Source organism: Homo sapiens, chromosome 5 (genome assembly GCF_000001405.40).
Source record: "Homo sapiens chromosome 5, GRCh38.p14 Primary Assembly".
NCBI classification, from domain to species: Eukaryota; Metazoa; Chordata; class Mammalia; order Primates; family Hominidae; genus Homo; species Homo sapiens.
The window spans coordinates 5,440,135-5,457,879 of NC_000005.10; the positions used below are offsets into that span (position 1 = coordinate 5,440,135).

The 17,745-nt window shown below is 36.5% G+C and overlaps 1 protein-coding gene across 4 annotated transcripts in view; it reads left to right on the plus strand.

Moving 5' to 3' along the window:
- ICE1 (interactor of little elongation complex ELL subunit 1) overlaps window positions 1-17,745 on the plus strand; it is a 67,544-nt gene that overhangs the window by 17,458 nt on the left and 32,341 nt on the right. For all 4 annotated transcript variants that reach the window (NM_015325.3, XM_011513999.3, XM_047417046.1 and 1 more), the window contains exons 5-12: window positions 978-1,089; window positions 3,034-3,110; window positions 4,155-4,192; window positions 7,293-7,375; window positions 7,587-7,626; window positions 7,707-7,763; window positions 14,418-14,504; window positions 17,198-17,607. In NM_015325.3, the coding sequence (NP_056140.1) occupies window positions 978-1,089; window positions 3,034-3,110; window positions 4,155-4,192; window positions 7,293-7,375; window positions 7,587-7,626; window positions 7,707-7,763; window positions 14,418-14,504; window positions 17,198-17,607 (904 nt within the window). The remainder of the gene's footprint in view (window positions 1-977; window positions 1,090-3,033; window positions 3,111-4,154; window positions 4,193-7,292; window positions 7,376-7,586; window positions 7,627-7,706; window positions 7,764-14,417; window positions 14,505-17,197; window positions 17,608-17,745) is intronic.

Sequence of the window (17,745 nt, forward strand, 5' to 3'; positions counted from 1 at the left end):
GGGTGTTTCACTTTTGAGTAACTTGTACTGACTGCATTGCCATTGAAGTGAAGCTTATTGTTGTCAAATTAACTGTTGTTTACATGGTTCACACTTTAATGTGGTGGTTTATCTTCTGTTACTTTAAACAGTTGAAAATAGGCCTACATAAAATTTTGGCAATGTTTCATTCTCTGATTGGATTCATCACCCAGATGAAGGCGAAACGTGGTTATAAACTAAGCCATAAAATTGCCTGTCACTTAAATTGAATAAATGGGTATGAGCTCAGGACTCAAGATTGGAACAGCCGGATTCTCAGCCAGGCTGTTTGAGTGATTTTACTGTAAAGTATTCTTCAGCAAATTAAGAATCTACTTGTTTCTCACAGAGCTTTTTGGTAGACTTTTATCAGAAATAGATTACTAGGCTGGCCGCAATGGCTCATGCCCATAATCCCACCACTTTGGGAGGCCAAATTATAATAGTAATAGTACTATTTAATAGCAAATAGTACTATTTAATAGTAAAATTTTTATACTATTAAAATTTTTTTTAATTAGCCAGCTGTGGTGGCACTCAAATAGTAAATAGTACTACTTAATGGTAAAAACTTTTTTTAAATTAGCCAGGTGTGGTGGCACATACCTGTAGTCCCAGCTGCTTGAGAGGCTGAGGCAGGAAGATCACTTGAGCCTGGGAGATTGAGGCTGCAGTGAGCCGTGGTGGTGCCACTATACTCCAGCCATTATATTCCAGCCCAGGAGACAGAGTGAGACCCTGACTAACAAAAAGAAAGAAAAGAAAAAAAAAATACTATGCCTAAGAAATAAAGGCAATGTGAAGATCATGTTGGTGTAGAGAGAAGTGCATTTAAAAAGACTTTTTCATCCTTTTTTTTGTTCCAAGTTAGCAATAAAATCTGAAATTATAAGCACATATATTTAATACTTCGTTATAGATCCTTTTCTGTAATAATGTTAATTCATTGTCTTTAGAGAGAATAGTAATCTGCATCACCAAGTGGAAGAGATGCTTCAAAAAATTTCTCCTCTACAGAAATGTCAGGAAGAACTGGGATCTTTAAAAGCAGAGCTAGAAGAGAAAAAGGTATGAACAATAATTTTCTGTAAAGATTTACGGTCAATAAATTAGGATGAGCTTATTCGGTATAATTGGGACGAGGGGGCTTTTGATGTGTTAAAGGAAATAAAGGCTAGTCAAGACTCTCAGTGTATTATTAGCTTTAGAGAACATTGAACTAACTGCTTAGTAGCTTAGTCTTTACAGTGATTATTAGCTCTGCAATACTGTGTCAGTTGCTTATGCTTTTTGAGAGGGTCAGCAGAAAATGCTTCTCACTATGAATTTGTGTGGTTTTATGTGTTCTGCATTAATTGATTTTTATACCTTTGTTTTTTGCTTAAATGTAAAATAACATGCAAAAATTCAAACTTTAAATGTAGAGGAATCGTTGTACATAAGAGAGAGGGAGCAGGAGAGAATTTTATTTCTTCAGTGGCTCTGGCCTATCTTTGGAGAGCCCAGTGGTGAATGAAGCGTGTAGGGCTTCTGCTCTGGTATGAGTTAAGATGTCCTTTAAAGAACCTACTCTCATAATTCATAAACTAGTCAATATTTTAAGCAATGTCTGTATACTTTACCTCTGTAACCCTAACTGCTTTGTTTGATCCCTTTTTAAAAAATCTCTTTTCATTTCTTTTTTTGGCAGTCATGTATAGTCTCTTGTGGTTTCTCATTGTCTGTGAGAGGTACACAAAAATGAGTCTTTCAATAATGCTTTTATAAGTAAGCGTTCAGGTTAGGGGTTATTTCTTTTAGGGCATGTTCGATCTTTTTGGGTGATACTTATTAAGCTGAGATGGAGCATTGGGAGAAGATGCCCACTTCAGATATGAAAATACGTATGTCTTTTCATGGAAGCTCTTCTTCTTTTCAAAGTCAAGTTGCAGTAAAACAGTTTGTTTAAAATGCTGTAAACTCCCTTTTCTATGTAAATTGTTGTTTACTCCCTACATGAATCTTAGAATTCATAGCTTTTACAGATAAAAACATTAAAGTCCATAGATTTAAGTGGTTTGCATGAGCCAAGTAGCAGCCACCTGGAATGATCCTCCTTTCTTAACCTCTTCTCTCTAGGCGCTTCTCACGGTAGTGTTTGTGCCTCTCAGTCTTCCTCAAATTGTGCTATTTTAGTGGTGACACGTAGCTGTCTGAGGTCTTACGTGCTTTAATAGTACATACTTATTTTCCTCTTTATAGAAATTCTTACTATATGTATAACTATGCTGTCAAAGTTAAACAGAAACAATCACAGTGTTCAATGATCTCTATTTGGTTATATAATCTTTTCAGCCATATTTGAGAAGAAGCATGAACATTGGAGTTAGACCTTAATGATAACCCTCATTAGTTGTTCAGTTACTGTCTTTGGAAGAGCAAGTCATCCTGTCAAACCCTGAGATTCCTCATTTGTAAAAAAGGAATAATGAAACTGTTGAGATTAAAGAACTCTCTCAGAGCTGTTGAGATTAAAGAAATGTATAGTTATCATACCCTGCTAGAACTCTCAATAACAGTGTCTTTCCCATTTTATAGTAGCTGCTAGGGTGTATATATCAGTGTTCACACATTTTCCCCAGTTATCATTAAGTATAATGATTTGTTTTAAATTTTCCCTAGCAATACCGTTAGCTCATATTTATTATGCTCTAATATTTTTTCAGGATATGTTGAATTTTAATTAGTTGAGGCAAAAATATTAGCTGTTTGATATTTAAACCAATTATGAAGGTTTAGAATTGCAATAAAATTAGTATATTGTTTTTAAGTTTTATAGTTTTTGTTGGATTATATTGTTAGTCATATTTCATCTATTAAGAATCTGGTTACCTCTATTAAAATATTCAGTGACTATTTTTTCTGCCTAATGTCTGTTTATTTGGTTAATAGCTTATCAAAGGCAAAGCAAGTTATGACCAATGGTCAGTGACTTTCATTTTGACAATATCTGTTTTTTTTCTTTTTTTAAAGAGTTCTTTAAAGTTGTATCAGGATACTCATCAGGAATATGCTCGTGTAAAGGAAGAATGCTTGAAGAGTGATGCTCAGTAAGTAGTTACTAAATTACTATAGAAATACGGTTTTCAGTTTTGAAAATACGTAATTCTTAAGTCGGTAGTGTTTTTTTTTTTACAGTCTTTGGATTTCTTGGCCATAATTAGCTGCATGGTCTTGAACTAGTTAGTCTCTCAACCTTGGTTTCCACATCTGTAAACTGGAAGTTATATCTACTTTGAAGGGTCATAAGGAACATTAAATAAATTGTCATATGTTAAAGGGCTGCACAAAGAACTCCATAAAGGTGTTTGTCTCTGTATGTATATGCATTATATTTGCATGCACATGTGTCTGTGTGTGTCTAAAGGTGTTTGTCTGTGTATATAATGCATTATGTACTCATTCACTTGTGTCTGTGTGTCAGAACATAATGACTGACCCCTTGCTTTGTGCCAGTGCTTTAACCGATAGCATGTGGAATGGGTATCTTTGCTACTATTCATAAAAAGGGCTGTTCAGAAGCATCCCCTTGATCATTGAGGTTCATACTATAGTCATGTTATTCACAACAAATGTGAGCTATACATAAAACAGTTGAATGTAGATGTAATGAAGCAGTGACTCAGAGAGTTATCCACCTTTTCAGACTCTCAGAAATCCATCTTAAAGCAAGTGTAGCTCTTCAACCACTGCTTTCCATACGGTGGTGCTGTGACCACTGTTAACGCTATGCATGCTCCTGAAGAGTAACCTTAACTCATTAGACTCTGGACTGACTCTTAGAGACCATCTAGAAACTTCAGCTAGTCTCATGAATGATGCCACTGCAGTTCAGGAAGGGTCCCAGATGTACTCATGGCAGAAATTTGACAGGCCCATGGCATGTGTTTCAAGTGGAAAGAACAGAATTTTTTAATCCACTGTAAAGATATTTCATACTAAATAGTATATTATTCTCTCTTAGGATACTAGTTCAGACTGAACATTTGTTATACAAATATTTGTAATTTAAAAAATATGTGCCACAAATTATAAGGCATATTTTTTCCTATTCTCTCTTTCTTGCCATTTAACTTACACAATTTCGTTATTAGGAAGAAGAAACTAGAAGCTAAGGTGAAGAAGCTGCAAGGTAAGTGGCACTATTGTTACCTGAAGTTTTCGGTCAGTACAAAAATCACTGGTAACTGTATGAGGAGGTACTTCTTGATCAAATAGTTGAATTGTTATGGTTTTTGATGGTACATCCATGGATGACTGCATCAAGGGGTCTATTAGAAAGAAGTGTGAATACTACTCTCCTCTCAGTTACCAAATGGTAACATAGAGATGGAATGTGGCAAATCTCCGAAATGTTACTGCACTCAAAGTAATCGCAGCCCATACTTTTGCTATAAAAAGCAGTAATTAATGAAAGAATTTAATTTGGAAAGTTGAATCTCATAGGGCTTTTTCTTTTTTTCTTAATGAAATAAGTAGCTGGTGGAAAGGGTGGCTACTTTTAGTACCAAGAAACATGTATTTAGATAGTTATAACACACATACAGAGATTTCGATGAAATTTTGTACATTAGGGATTGTCCAGTTTGTACCTGATCCTCACCCGTGCCTCACCCTCTTGTTAGGGGTTCTAGCCTACAGTGAGTAGGTACGAGTGCAGAGGGACCATGCGAGAATCTAAGTCCTCACATTTCAGCTAATAACCTTTCAGGAACTGGTAGGAATTGAACTCAAGATCTTTTTATTTGCTTTTTCCTCCCTTCATTGTGTGGGTGGGACACAGACCTAATACCAAGTAGAGACAAAGGGGCTCTGCCAGATCCATCCTGCACACGATCTTCCTGTCATTCCAGCCTGGACTGCAGCGGGCATCTTACCTGCTATGGGTTTCTGACCCATTATCTTGCTAGTGCTCTACTTCAGAGATGGTTTATGTTCATTTAGAGCGTGAAGTTAGAGTTTGAATTTAGTTACATCCGGGCACATAGAATAATAGTTGCGGAAAGTATTTCTAGTCACTAATTTTTCTTGATTGAACCAAATTTTTTGGACTGGAACTCTAAATATTTCGGTAACAATTTTTCCTCTGGTTTGATTATTGCATGAATACTGACAATATGGCAGTAAGAATGATATTTTGTGTTCTAAGTATTGGTGTCTCTTGTAAGAATATGGAGATAAGTGTCTATTGTATTTAAACAAAATTTTTTTAATTTTTAAACTTTTTAAATTTTTTATTTATCATATTTTATTTTTTGAGACAGGGTCTCTCTCTGTCACTCAGGCTGGACAGGTGGTGCGATCTCGGCTCACTGCAACCCCTGCCTTCTGGATTTAAGAGTTTCTCCCACCTCAGCCTCCCGAGCATCTGGGACTACAGGCACGCACCACCAAACCTAGCTAATTTTTGGCTTTCACCATGTTGGCCAGACTGGTCTCGAACTCCTGACCTCAAGTGATCTGCCCGCCTCAGCTTCCTAAAGTGCTAGGATTACAGGTGTGAGCCACTGCACCCAGCCACATTTTTTATTTAAAAAAGAATTTTTTTTTTTTTTTGAGAGGAAGTCTCGCTCTGTCGCCTAGACTGGAGTGCAGTGGCGTGATCTCGGCTCTCTACAACCTCTGTCTCCCGGGTTCTGCTTCAGCCTCCTGAGTAGCTGGGCCTATGTGTCATGTGCCACCACACCTGGCTAACTTTTTTATATTTTTAGTAGAGATGGGGTTATGTTGGCCAGGCTGGTCTTGAACTCCTAACCTCAGGTGATCCGCCTGCCTCAGCCTCCCAAAGTGCTGGGATTACAGGCGTGAGTCACCGCGCCTGGCCCACTGCTTTTATTTTTTAGAGACAGGTCTCACTCTGTTGCCTAGGCTGGAGTGCAGTGGCAAAATCATAGCTCATGGTAACTCTGCCTTCAGGTGATCCTCCAGCCTCAGCCTCCAGAGTAGATGGGACTATAGGTGTGTGCTACCACACCTGCCTTTTAAATTTTTTGTAGAGATAGGGTTGCCCAGGCTGGTCTTGAACTCCTTGGCTTGAGTGATTCTCCTGCCTCAGTCTCCCAAAGTGCTGATACTACAGGTGTGAGCCACTGTGCCCAGCCAAGGAAATTATTTTTTTGAGACAGGGTCTCACTCCGTCACCTAGGCTGGAGTACAGTGGTGCAGTCATGGCTTACTGCAGCCTCAGCCTCCCAGACTCAGGTGATTATTCCACCTCCTGAGTAGCTGGGAACTACAGGTGTGCACCACGACACCCGACTAATTTCGACTAATTTTTGTAGAGACAGAGTTCCACTATGTTGCCCAGGCTGGTCTTGAACTCCTGGGCTCAAGAAACCTGCTCATCCTCCCAAAGTGCTGGGATCACAGTCGTGAGCCACTGCAAGGAAACATCTTTAAAGAAATCTGAAGTGCCAGTGAGACTATATATACAGGTTTTAGAACAGACTTTCTGTGAAGCAAAATGCCGCCTTTATTTTTCGTGTATAAAAAGTAGTTTTTCTAGTAAAAAAAATTTATCGGTGTGACTTAATAAAGATTACTGAGAAAAAAAATATCCAAACTTGTTAGAGGAGTCAGGAGAGGATTGTTACTGAGGTGTTTCATGGAGTTTTAGTTAGTAATTGTATATGAGCATAGTTATGTAAAGTCAGTACTGGTCAGATTCTTAATAGTATGTCTGGACCATTTGAGGCTTCAGAAACAAAAATGAAAATGAAGGATTACCTAAAATAGATCTCTAATAAAGGTCCTAGGGATTATGTTTAGCTAACTTGTTGAAGAGAATTCCAGGGAAGAATAACCATATCTATAATAAGCATTGAGAAAATCGCCTCTCCCCTCCCTAATAAAGAGGCTATATTCTGAGATAAAATCACATTTCTAAAATTTCTAGGACTTTAAGGTTGCCAGTGATTGAAATGGGACGGCAACTCCCTTTTATGCCTTGAATTCTTCCTTAACTAGGGGTTGGGATTGCTGTGCCTGGTTTGGAAAGAATTCTTAAGGCCTGCGCTAGTTCTGTGGTTTAAATGACAGTTAAAGAAAAAAGTACATTGCATTCAGCCCTGACGATAAAATATTGAAGGAGCAATGGCTTTTTACGAAATTTATTTCAAACTTTTAAGAAATGAGAAAAACTTGTAATAGATAAGATTTTGAGTATTTCATTAACCACAGTAGTAAAGTTAGTAAATTATTTTTCTCTCCCTATTGCTTCATTGGACTTAAAGAGGCTGCTGTCAAGCAAACTCAGGACTTCAAGCAACTGAGAAATGAAAAGAAAATACTTGAAAAGGAATTTAAGAAGACACAGGTACTAGATAAAAGCAGCATACACACACCTTAAATACGTGGCTCCAGGGTCTCTGTAGTGTCTCTGTGTTGTAACTCACGTAGGAGTCAACATGAGGCCCCCTGGCAAAAACAGTCCCAGCTGCCTGTTAAGTTGCACCTGTTTTACATTTGGTCTAGAATGGCTGCACTTCTTATTCAGCATAAACACTATTAATATTTTGTTTTCACAGGAAAGGCTTGACGAATTTTCTAAACAGAAAAATGAAAAGGGTGAGTATTCAGTTAATGCTTACATAAATTTATTTTTGATATGTAGTATTTTATTAACCGTTTTTTCCCCATGCTTTTAGAGTTGAGACATATTGGAACACAAATTTCAAGTGATTCATATGGAAGCATAGATAAAAGTGAGTATATTGCAACTTTTGTTTTAATGTTGTGTATTGCTCTTAGTGGGTTGTGAGACTGTGTTTTGCTCCTACATATAATTGTGAAAGTGCCAGGGCTTAGTAGATGTTTCGTTTTAGTAGAAGTCATATATTATTGTGTCTTCATTAGATCCAAATATAATCAGCTTATTGTCTTATAAAATAATACAGTGAATAAAAGAGTCAAAAATCAATATTGTTTGGGATAGGAAAACTAGTTGGAGATATAACATCTGCTTTTTTCAATTAATGAATACAGATTTTTTTCTCTGGATTATAATTTATCAAATTAATTTATTAAATTTCCTGGGTACCAAGTATATAAGAAAATGTTAAAGTCAGGCAGGAAAACTATAGAATTAAAGCCTTATAGTATATTATATAGTAAAGCCCTATATAGTATAGACAGAAAAGTTTAGGGAAGGCCCACAATTGCAAAGAAAAGTGGTGGTCACGGAACAAGGGAATGTCATACAAATGTGGACACACACTGCGTTACTGAGCGCCACGTCTCATAGGTGAGAAGCATAACTCTAGAAGGTGAGAAATGAGAATTTTCACTTCCATCCTTCCATTTGTTGTGTGACTCTGCCATTTACTTTCCTTTTTTTGTATTTTCATTTTCCTTTTAAAAATGGAAATATGAATTTGAATTTCTGCTCTATCTCACAGGTTTTTTGTGGGGATGCATTTAAAATGTTTAATTAGTAAATAATGGTATTTCATCTCACTAATGTGTTATTTTTTTCTCCAAGTGGAAATGATTAAAAACATTTAAATTGTGTGCAGGTATATGGTGTCTCTTTTAGAAGTCACCTTTACCTTTTTTTCTTTAATTTTTTTTTAAAATTCAGAGTACAAGTTTATGTTTTCCTTGGTGTAAGGCTTTAACAGTTCCCACCTTTCAGCTGCCTGGGCATTGATTGCTCACCTACCACTATGACTAGATATGATTCCATGTGCTTTTGACTAGATTCTTTGTCTCTTGTGTATGGAAAGTGAGACTTTAAGTAATAGTTACTGCTGAGAGAAATAGAAGACGTGACAACGTTTGCTTTCCCATTCAGTAGTCAGCGGTTGAATGGAATTATCTTCGTTTTTGGACTGACAGATTTGTTTTACAATTCAGCTATTCCCAAGCCTTACTATTCAAAGCAGAACCCTTCTGTCTTCTTTCTGTAGTTGCTCTCTCTCCCTATATTCTGTTGTATTTTTTTCAAATAACTTATTACTATCTCAAGTAAAATTGTTTTATGTTTTGTTTTTATCTACCCTCTTAATCAGGGCAGGGATATGTCTGTTGTATATTTTACTTTTCCCAAATACATAAAGTTTCTGGGAATCTGCTGGTTATTTAGCTGTGGACCTTGATGGGTTTATCCTTACTTCTTAAGTGTATTGTTAACACTAATACTTGACTTATGGAAAAGATTTGCAAAGTAAGCACCAGAGTATTAGGTTGACTTCACTTTACAAAAAAAGGCCATCTGAGTGCTACTTTGCCTTTCTTTTCTTTAAAATTCCAACAAAAATTTTCGACCGGAAAAAAAAAAAACAAAAACAGCAGCAACTCCTGGATAGTTACAAAGATTACCATCAGTAGAAGAAATGAGGAAGATGCACAGCAGATAGTATCAATTGGTGATGAAACCCGCAATTGCAGAGAAAATAGCAGCTCTCACAAAGTAAGTTTTCATTGCAGAAGCTGCGAGTTTCCCCAAATCAGAGATGGCAGGGAGTGGGAGAAGGAGCAGGACATTAGCATTTTGCCAGGTAATTGATTAAAGGGTGAAAGGAATGCCAAGCTTCTGGTTTCAAAAACTGTTTCTGGCCTTTGCTCATAAACTGTGGCCCCAGTTTCATTTTCTAAAGTTTTAGCTATGACAATGGAGCTCCTCAGAGTGGGCGTGGATATCAGAAAATTGGGTAATTATGGCCACTTTAAGGGCTAGCCCCTCCTCTTCCCAGAAAACAAGATGTTTATATACTCCATGTAAACCCTCACAACTGCGTCCACTTTCCACTGCTTCCCCTGCAAGGCAGGGTCCCACAGATTTATGAAATGAGAATCTACATTTACTGCTGAAGGAATAGCACTAAAAATGTAGGCTGAAGAAATACACTTTGTCTGCCAAAGATGTTCTGCCTAAACTCTCATCTAAAACTTAGAGAAAAAGCAGTGAGAAAAAAGAGAAAAGCAACAGACGCAAGAAGACTGAGAGAAACAGTCTTTAATTATGAATGAGAAGGAAATGCTGAAAACTGATTGCATTTCCTTTAGAGAAAGTCTAAGAACATGTCCATAGGCTGCTGCTATGAAATTGAACCAGATAGGGATCTTGAAAATTAAAAATCCAATTGTATAAATAAACCCAGTAGAAAGGTGGAAATACTGGATGAACAAATAAAAGATCAATTAAGTTGATCCTAGAGACTGAATCCTAGGCGGTTGAGAGCATCATACAAAGGGACAAACAAATTAAAGATATTAGAGAAAATAACAAGATTTGGAGGATAGAGCCAGATGTCTCAATATGCGTCTCCTAGGACTTCTCAGAGGGGAGAACAGAAACAGAAGGAGAGAAGGTGATCAAGACATGACAGAAGGGAACTTTCCTGAGCAGAGAACACATGGAATATTCATATTCATAGGGGCCACCAAGTGTTGAGCGTGATTTTTGTGTACAGTCTCCGTCTCTGACACCTTCGTAGGAAATATACCTAAAATCAAATGAAACAGACTGAATATTAGAGGGATGGATAAAAATATTCCAAGCAATGCTGACATTAAAGCAGTCATGTAAGGTAAAAAATAATAAAAGCTTAGAAATGAATTTACATTATTGAAATGTTGATTAAAAGTATAGTTTGCCATGAAGATACTGCTAGTATGTACCTAAGAGTGTGAAACGATGTCAAGCAATACTCTTGGAAATCTAGGGGGACTGGCCAAATCTATTTTCGTCGTGAGAGACTTCACAATGTTTTTTAGAAAGAGAGAGCAAAAGCAGACAAGGGATGGAATTGGAATCACAGTTCCAAATGGATAATTTATATACAACTGTTTGTAAACCACACACCTGGAGTTTGTTAAAATACTTTTCAAATGTATAAAAGTTGACTAGTAAGTGAACAATAAAAAATACCTACAATTTAATATGAGCTTTTAATAAAAATCCCCCTCCCTCTGCAAAAACAAAACCTGCAAAACTTACCTAATAACTAAACTCACATAAGACACACAAAAAACCTCTCTTTGGTAACAGAGAAAATAAGAATTGAAATACTAAACTGTTTTGAAAGTAAACAGTAGGGCAATATTTATTAAAATCTTTAAGATATAGCCAATTCCTTCACTATTCAAAGGAATATGTTAAGGCCTTACGTGATACATTGTCACTTTAGAAATAAATACGGAGAATGAAGTGTTTAACTGAAAGAAAAAATTGATGAAAATGCAAACTTAATGAAATAGGAAACAAAGCAATTGATTTAGGACAATTAAATCTGATAGCTGGTTCTTTGTAATGCTAGTGAAACCAACAACTCTTTGGTAAACTTTGATTAAACAAACAAACAGAAGGAAAAACAGCACCAGGATTGAGAAACAGGTAAAACTACAGTCAAGAAATTTCATAATTCACAAGTTCATATTCAGATGTGAAAATGTAAGTAGAATGGTCCATTTTCAAGGAAAACATGCTCAAATTGACTCAGAACAATTGCTACAAACCTGAACAAAAAATAGGAAGAAATTTTTAACAATAGTTAAAGATCTAACACCATAATAAATCCGGATAATTTATAGGTGAGCTTTGTAAACGTTCAGTGAAAAACTAGTGTCTCTGTTATTAATTTTTTTGTTTCAGAACTTAGAAAATAAGGAATGTTTCCATTTTATTCTCTTAGGCTAGCATAATGCTGTACCAAAATCAAATAGCATGCACACATGTTCTCAAGATTCAGGACTCTTGTGTTGTTAATATAGCTGCAAAAATACCAAATAAAATTTTAAGAAATTAAATCCACAAATTTAGAGTACAGACAAATTATGCTTGAAGATTTATCTCAGGAATACTACAGCTGGGTCAGAGAATGTTGTGATCATCTCAATTCAGCACGTAGTCCCAATTTCAAAAAATTGATGAGGTAATGGAAAAAAAATTTTAACTTGAGAAAGGTGAAACATTCAAAGTATAGTTATTACTGTCAAAAACAAGGCAAGCATGCTTTTTGTTTGTTCCATTTTTTTTTTTTTTTTTTTTTGTACTGGAGGCCTGAACCAGTGCAACAGAATAAATGCAGAAGAGTAGGATCTGTGAATACTAATAAAGAAAAGTTGAAATTGTCATTATTTCAGATGATACTACTAATGTAGAGAATTTAAAAGACTCAGAGTTGGAATTAGAAGTAATAGAGCTTGGTAAAGTGCTGGCATATACAATGAACATATACATTGTACCGTTATTAACCTGTTAGAAAAGGAATGGAATAAGAACAACCCATTCTCAAGTGGCACCTGAACCAGCAGATGTCTAAGAAAAGACCTGAAAGCAGTATACAGTGTTTCTGAGGAAAACTGAAACATTCCTTAAAAGCGTTAAGGAAGACCTGAGTACATAAACATGTTCCTGGATGAGAAGATTCAAAGCATAAAGATGTAAAATTTCCCCAAATGTATTTATAAATATACAGAAATATTCAAAGTCCCATAGATGTTTTCTATGGAAGAGCACAAGCAGATGGTTTATAGGGAAAAGTGTATGTTCAGAATAATACAATTTTTCAACAGGAGAAAACTGAATAATGATTACGCTCTAACAGATATTCAGTAACCTACCCTGATTAAAGAAGTGTGGTATGGATACAGAAAATGACAAAGCAATGAAGTAGAAAATAAATTAAATAAATAAATATGTAAGTCCTTAAATATTCATACATGCCTTAGAGTTTGATAAAGGCAGAATTTTAAAGGATCAGGGAAAGTTGTGCAATTCACTTGAAGGAGGTGTTGTCTTCACAACTAAGTGTGAAGTTAACGCTGAAGATGTTTTTCTGCTTTGTTGGGAATAGAGTGCTTTTATTTATTTATTTTTTGGGTCAGATTAGCAGTAATGAATGCTCAGTTACAAAGGCATAGCTCTGGATGATAGCCTCCATAAGAATGGAAAAGTAACTTTTTTTCTTTTTTTTTAAGGTTCCTTGTTTGCTGCTTTGGGTATACGTAATAAGCAGGGATCCTGGTCAGGTCATTTAAGCAAAGGGGATTACAGTATTTGGAAGCAGGCTTTTGGGTAGGTTATATCACAATGTAGATAAGCTACTCGATCACAGAATTTTGGAACTGAAAAATGGATATGGCTCACACACAGTGGCAATCAGAAGGTTGTTTTGGCTCAGGAGAGTTGGCAGTGTCCAGCCTTTCACACTTACCCGTGAACTGTCCTCCACAGTTGTCCTGCCCCTTTCTGTGGACTTCATTTTTTGAAGTGATGCAGTCTGCCAGCTTAAGTAGAGCTAATCTCTTACAAAATCTGTGATTCCCTGAGACATTTGGGTTTTTAAAGTTTGGTCTTTTAAGCTTCTCTTGAACTGGAGTAAAGATTTCACTAATATCAGTAAATGCTTAAGGTTAATTAAAAAACTTAAGTTCAAGGAAACTCTAATAAAACTTTTTAGGTGGCCTGAAAGTTGTATACATATACTTAAGCTACTTTTAGTTGAATTTTAATTCGTGTGGGTTGTCTTTTTATGCACATTTCACCACAAGCTATTCATAGTTATATTTTCATAAATACTTTTTGCTTTAGAAGGTTTTGAAATTTGTATTAATGTAGAAAAGCTTTAAAACCATAGTATAATATTCTTAATGTTACATTTATTTCATTAGGGCTGTCTTAGTTACAGCATCCCTTGGCCTTTCAATTTGAATTACTGGTTCTTAACTATTTTAGGAATTTACATCTCTTTGAAAATGTGTAAAAATTCCAAAGGTTTTACTTTCCTTATAAAAGTATGTGCTTCTCTGTCTGCTCGTGTGTGTGATGATCGGTTCCTACCCATATGTTCATACGCACACATTCCCGTACCGTCTCCCCTCAAGTCCATTGATGGATTACCTGTAATCCCTGAACTCCCCAGGTTAATTACAGCATGGTTAAGTCTAGTGACTTTTCTGATAACCTCTTATAACTTAGGGATGCTTCTCTACTCCTTGTAAAATACATAGAGCCCAGATCCCTTATCAGTTATTAACTGTGCTTCCTTCCCCCATCTCAAAGCACTCTCTGGTGAAAATATGTGGGCCAAAGATTCATTTGTCCCATGCATACATAAAGAGGTAATAAAAGCCTTTCACAGCAAGTACACATGGTCTTTTGAATCCCCTGCCTCTGCCACCAATTTTTTTTTTAAAAAAGCAAACAAAAGTACCTTCAGCCTTCAATTTTTAGCTTAAGTATTGCAGACCTTTTTATCAGTAACTGACTGTATTGTGCACAATGGTTGAGTTTGGGGAAGATGTATATGTAATTTTCTAAGTCCCTAATAAACCCTGATTTCACAGAAGTATGTTCTGGCCTTGTGTACGGTGAGCCAAATGACGTGACTTTAATGCTTTGCTCTGTTTCACAGGAAAAGTGAAACTGCTTCTGAAGGAACTCTGGCTCTGTGTAAACACAACACACAGACTACCTGGTGAAGGCAGCAGGTGTGTCCCAGGTGAGAGAGAAGCTTACAGAAACCGATTTCATATGTGAAAGTACAGAGCTTAACCATAGGCATAGCAGCCGTTACTTTTTAATAGCTCCTGATTCTAACATTGAAAGAATGAAGTAAACTAGAATGGGTACTTTTAATTATACAAAACTCGTTTCCCTTCAGTGTGAATGTTAATCCCAGTAAATACATTTAGCTTTCATCAGAGAACCTTCAAAAAAAAACGAGAAGGTCAAGTAGCAGAGGCATATCTGGCAGGTGGAGAGGGGATACTTGAAGGATGCAGTTTCTTCTGAATCATTTCATGAATTTGATCAATCTGTGAGCACTTTAGCTTCGTTTATTTTTAGTGTAATTTATCAGTTCCTTTGGTTGAACATCTTGACTCTCAGAGTATCATGGGGGCATTCTAGCACATTCACAGTTATAGTCGATTTAGCTGTCCTGAGTAGAAGGGGAGCAGATAGCTGTCTTGTATAAGATTAAAGTGCTTCTTATTTAGCTTTTTGTCATTTTACTAATTTCTTTTGATTAGCTGCTGTAAATTCACAGGTCATTGAGGTTCTAAATCTATGGAAACCTCCACCTTATTTTCCTCTCAGGCTTCTAAAGACAGTTGGAAAAAATGTTAAGGGACAAGTTACTGATTCTTACTTATGGTGGACTCAGAACTTGTCGAGTGTACGGAGGCATATTTGATGGGGTTTCTTTAAGTAGATGTTTCCCTCAGTTCACCTGCCAGGTACCCATTGGTATTAACCACATGGTGCCCGCAACTCTTAAATTAGTCACCTCAGTTCATAATTTATCAATTCATCTGTTTAGGCAGAAGCAACCAAGGGATGCTTTTTGGCCTTCTATATCAATCAGCATTCTATTTTAAGCATTTGATTTTATGTTGTCAAGCTGTTATTAAAAGAGCTGTTCTTCATTTCATAATCTAATGTTTGTATTTAAAAATATGCTTTTGAGGGGTAAATATATTACGTTAATTTTTCCAAAGTAGAAGGGAAAACATGGTATCTTTGGAATCTTATTATACCATAAGACATATTCTTTTGTTTTAACTTTTTATTTTCATATGAGGATGGTTACAAAAATAGTTCAGAGAATCCCCATGGATCCCTTAGCAGATTGCAGGATTTTTAACATTTTCAGTTACCAATGGTCAAAACCAGGACGTTTGGTACAGCCCTATTAACTAAACTGTGAATTCCACAGTTTTCCCCAGGAATCCTCCTTTCTTTCCAGGATGCAGTACAGGAACCCACGTTGCCTTTAGTAGTCATCTTGCTTTCACCTCCTCCAGTCCAAAAGTTCCTGTTTTTTTTTTAATCTCTCATGTCTTTTACACTTTGGGAGAATATTATTTTGTAGAATAATTTTGTAGAAAGCCCATTGTTTTGGCTTATGTGATGTTTTCTCATGTCAGATTGAGGTTGTATATTTGTGGCAAGAACGTCACAGTGGTGCTGTTTCTCTTTGCTCAGGGAGTTGTTCTAGGGATAGGTGATGTGGATATGTATTATCACTGGGCTCTAACCTTGAGCACTTGGGTAAGGTGGTATCTGCAAGTTTTTATGTTGTAAAGTTACTCTTTTTTTCCTAATGAATCAACTTGAGAAAGATTCTTTAACATTGTGCAAATATTCTGTTTCTTTCCAGTTGTCACCTGCTGATTTTGGCCTACAGCAGTAGATCTTGCCTGCTATAATTACTGCTTTAGTGTTTGCCAAATAGTGATTTTTTATTTGTCTCATTCCATCTGCATTCATTAATTGGAATTCTTACGTAAGGAAGAGCTGTTCCTTATCTACCATTTATTACTTGTTTACATCAGTATAGTCTCATAGATATTTATTTTATTCGTAAATAATAATTCATTGCTATCCTTTTAGCTTTGGTGGGAGCTTGTTCAGATTGGCTCTGGGTCCTTCATAAATACTCCATTTTTTTTTGAGTTGTTTACTTCTGGTACCGCAAGATGTTTCCATCTCTGCTTGGATTTTCGCTTCCCAGCCCGATAATCAACCGCCTATCCAAGGAGCCCTGGATCCTCTATAAAACTTATTTTTAAAGCTGGCAAATATAATAAATGGTTATGGAATCAAATGTTTTTGTTAATAGTACCACTGAAGTTCACCAAAATCAAGACCAGGATTAGGTTTTTATAGGAACTTTTCTGTTGCATTATCATACTGAGTATTCATAGACCTCGTCAGATCTTTCAGTTAGAGAGCATTGTACAGATTTGGCCGTGGGTAGGCTTGATATTAGTTGATTTCAAATCACTTTTTGGACAGAAAATAGTGTTCTGTATCAACCTATAGGCACAAAGTTGTTTCTCTGCCAGATTCTGCTGTTTGTATGGGAGGATTCATCCAGAGACCGAGTGAGCCAGCAAGGCCCGTTTTCATGGCTGTGGATGCCTTTCCAGCTGTGTCATCCATCCACCCACCGGTCCATCTCACCTGTCTGTCTCACTTTTCTTACTGCAAGGCTAGCATACTTGTATGAAATGTATTGATTTTCTAGGATAATGTTTAGAAAGCGATTGGTTGCCTTTTAAAAAATTACTTGGACTTAATATTTCAAGCATTTTGAACTGTTGTAATAAGGTTTCTTTCTTTCTTTTTTTTTTTTAAGTTTTCTTGATATTGTAAATACCTGATACCTACTTTTGTTCCCCCACATAGAAAAACCTGCCAAAGCAATCACCAGCTCCAGAGTGCCTGGGGAAGATGGTACGCTACCTCCAACACAGGGCAGCCCTCTCAGGACCTCAAATGTGCAGACATGCCTCACAAAACTGTCCATGGAGATAAAGGAGGACTTTTTATGTCAAAATGTGGAAAAACAGAGCTCCAGTGGAACAAATTGTAGTTCTGACCATGTTTTTAATGAGAATGGAAATCTTGAGGTTTTAGTACAAAGTCATCGTGACGGTGGTAGTACTGAATTTGTTGATCATGATCATTTTTTTGATGAAGATCTTCAAGCTGCAATTGACTTCTTCAAACTTCCCCCTCCTCTTCTGTCACCAGTGCCCTCGCCCCCTCCGATGTCATCACCTCACCCGGGTTCCTTACCGTCTTCATTTGCACCTGTGAGTTTTGCTCTCTGAATTTGAATTACCAAGTGGGTACATTGTCTATCCTAATATGTCCTTGATGCTCAAAGGATATTAGTGATATTCTTGCACAGATTATTCATTTTAGCCAATTTTGTTAGGGGGTAACATGAG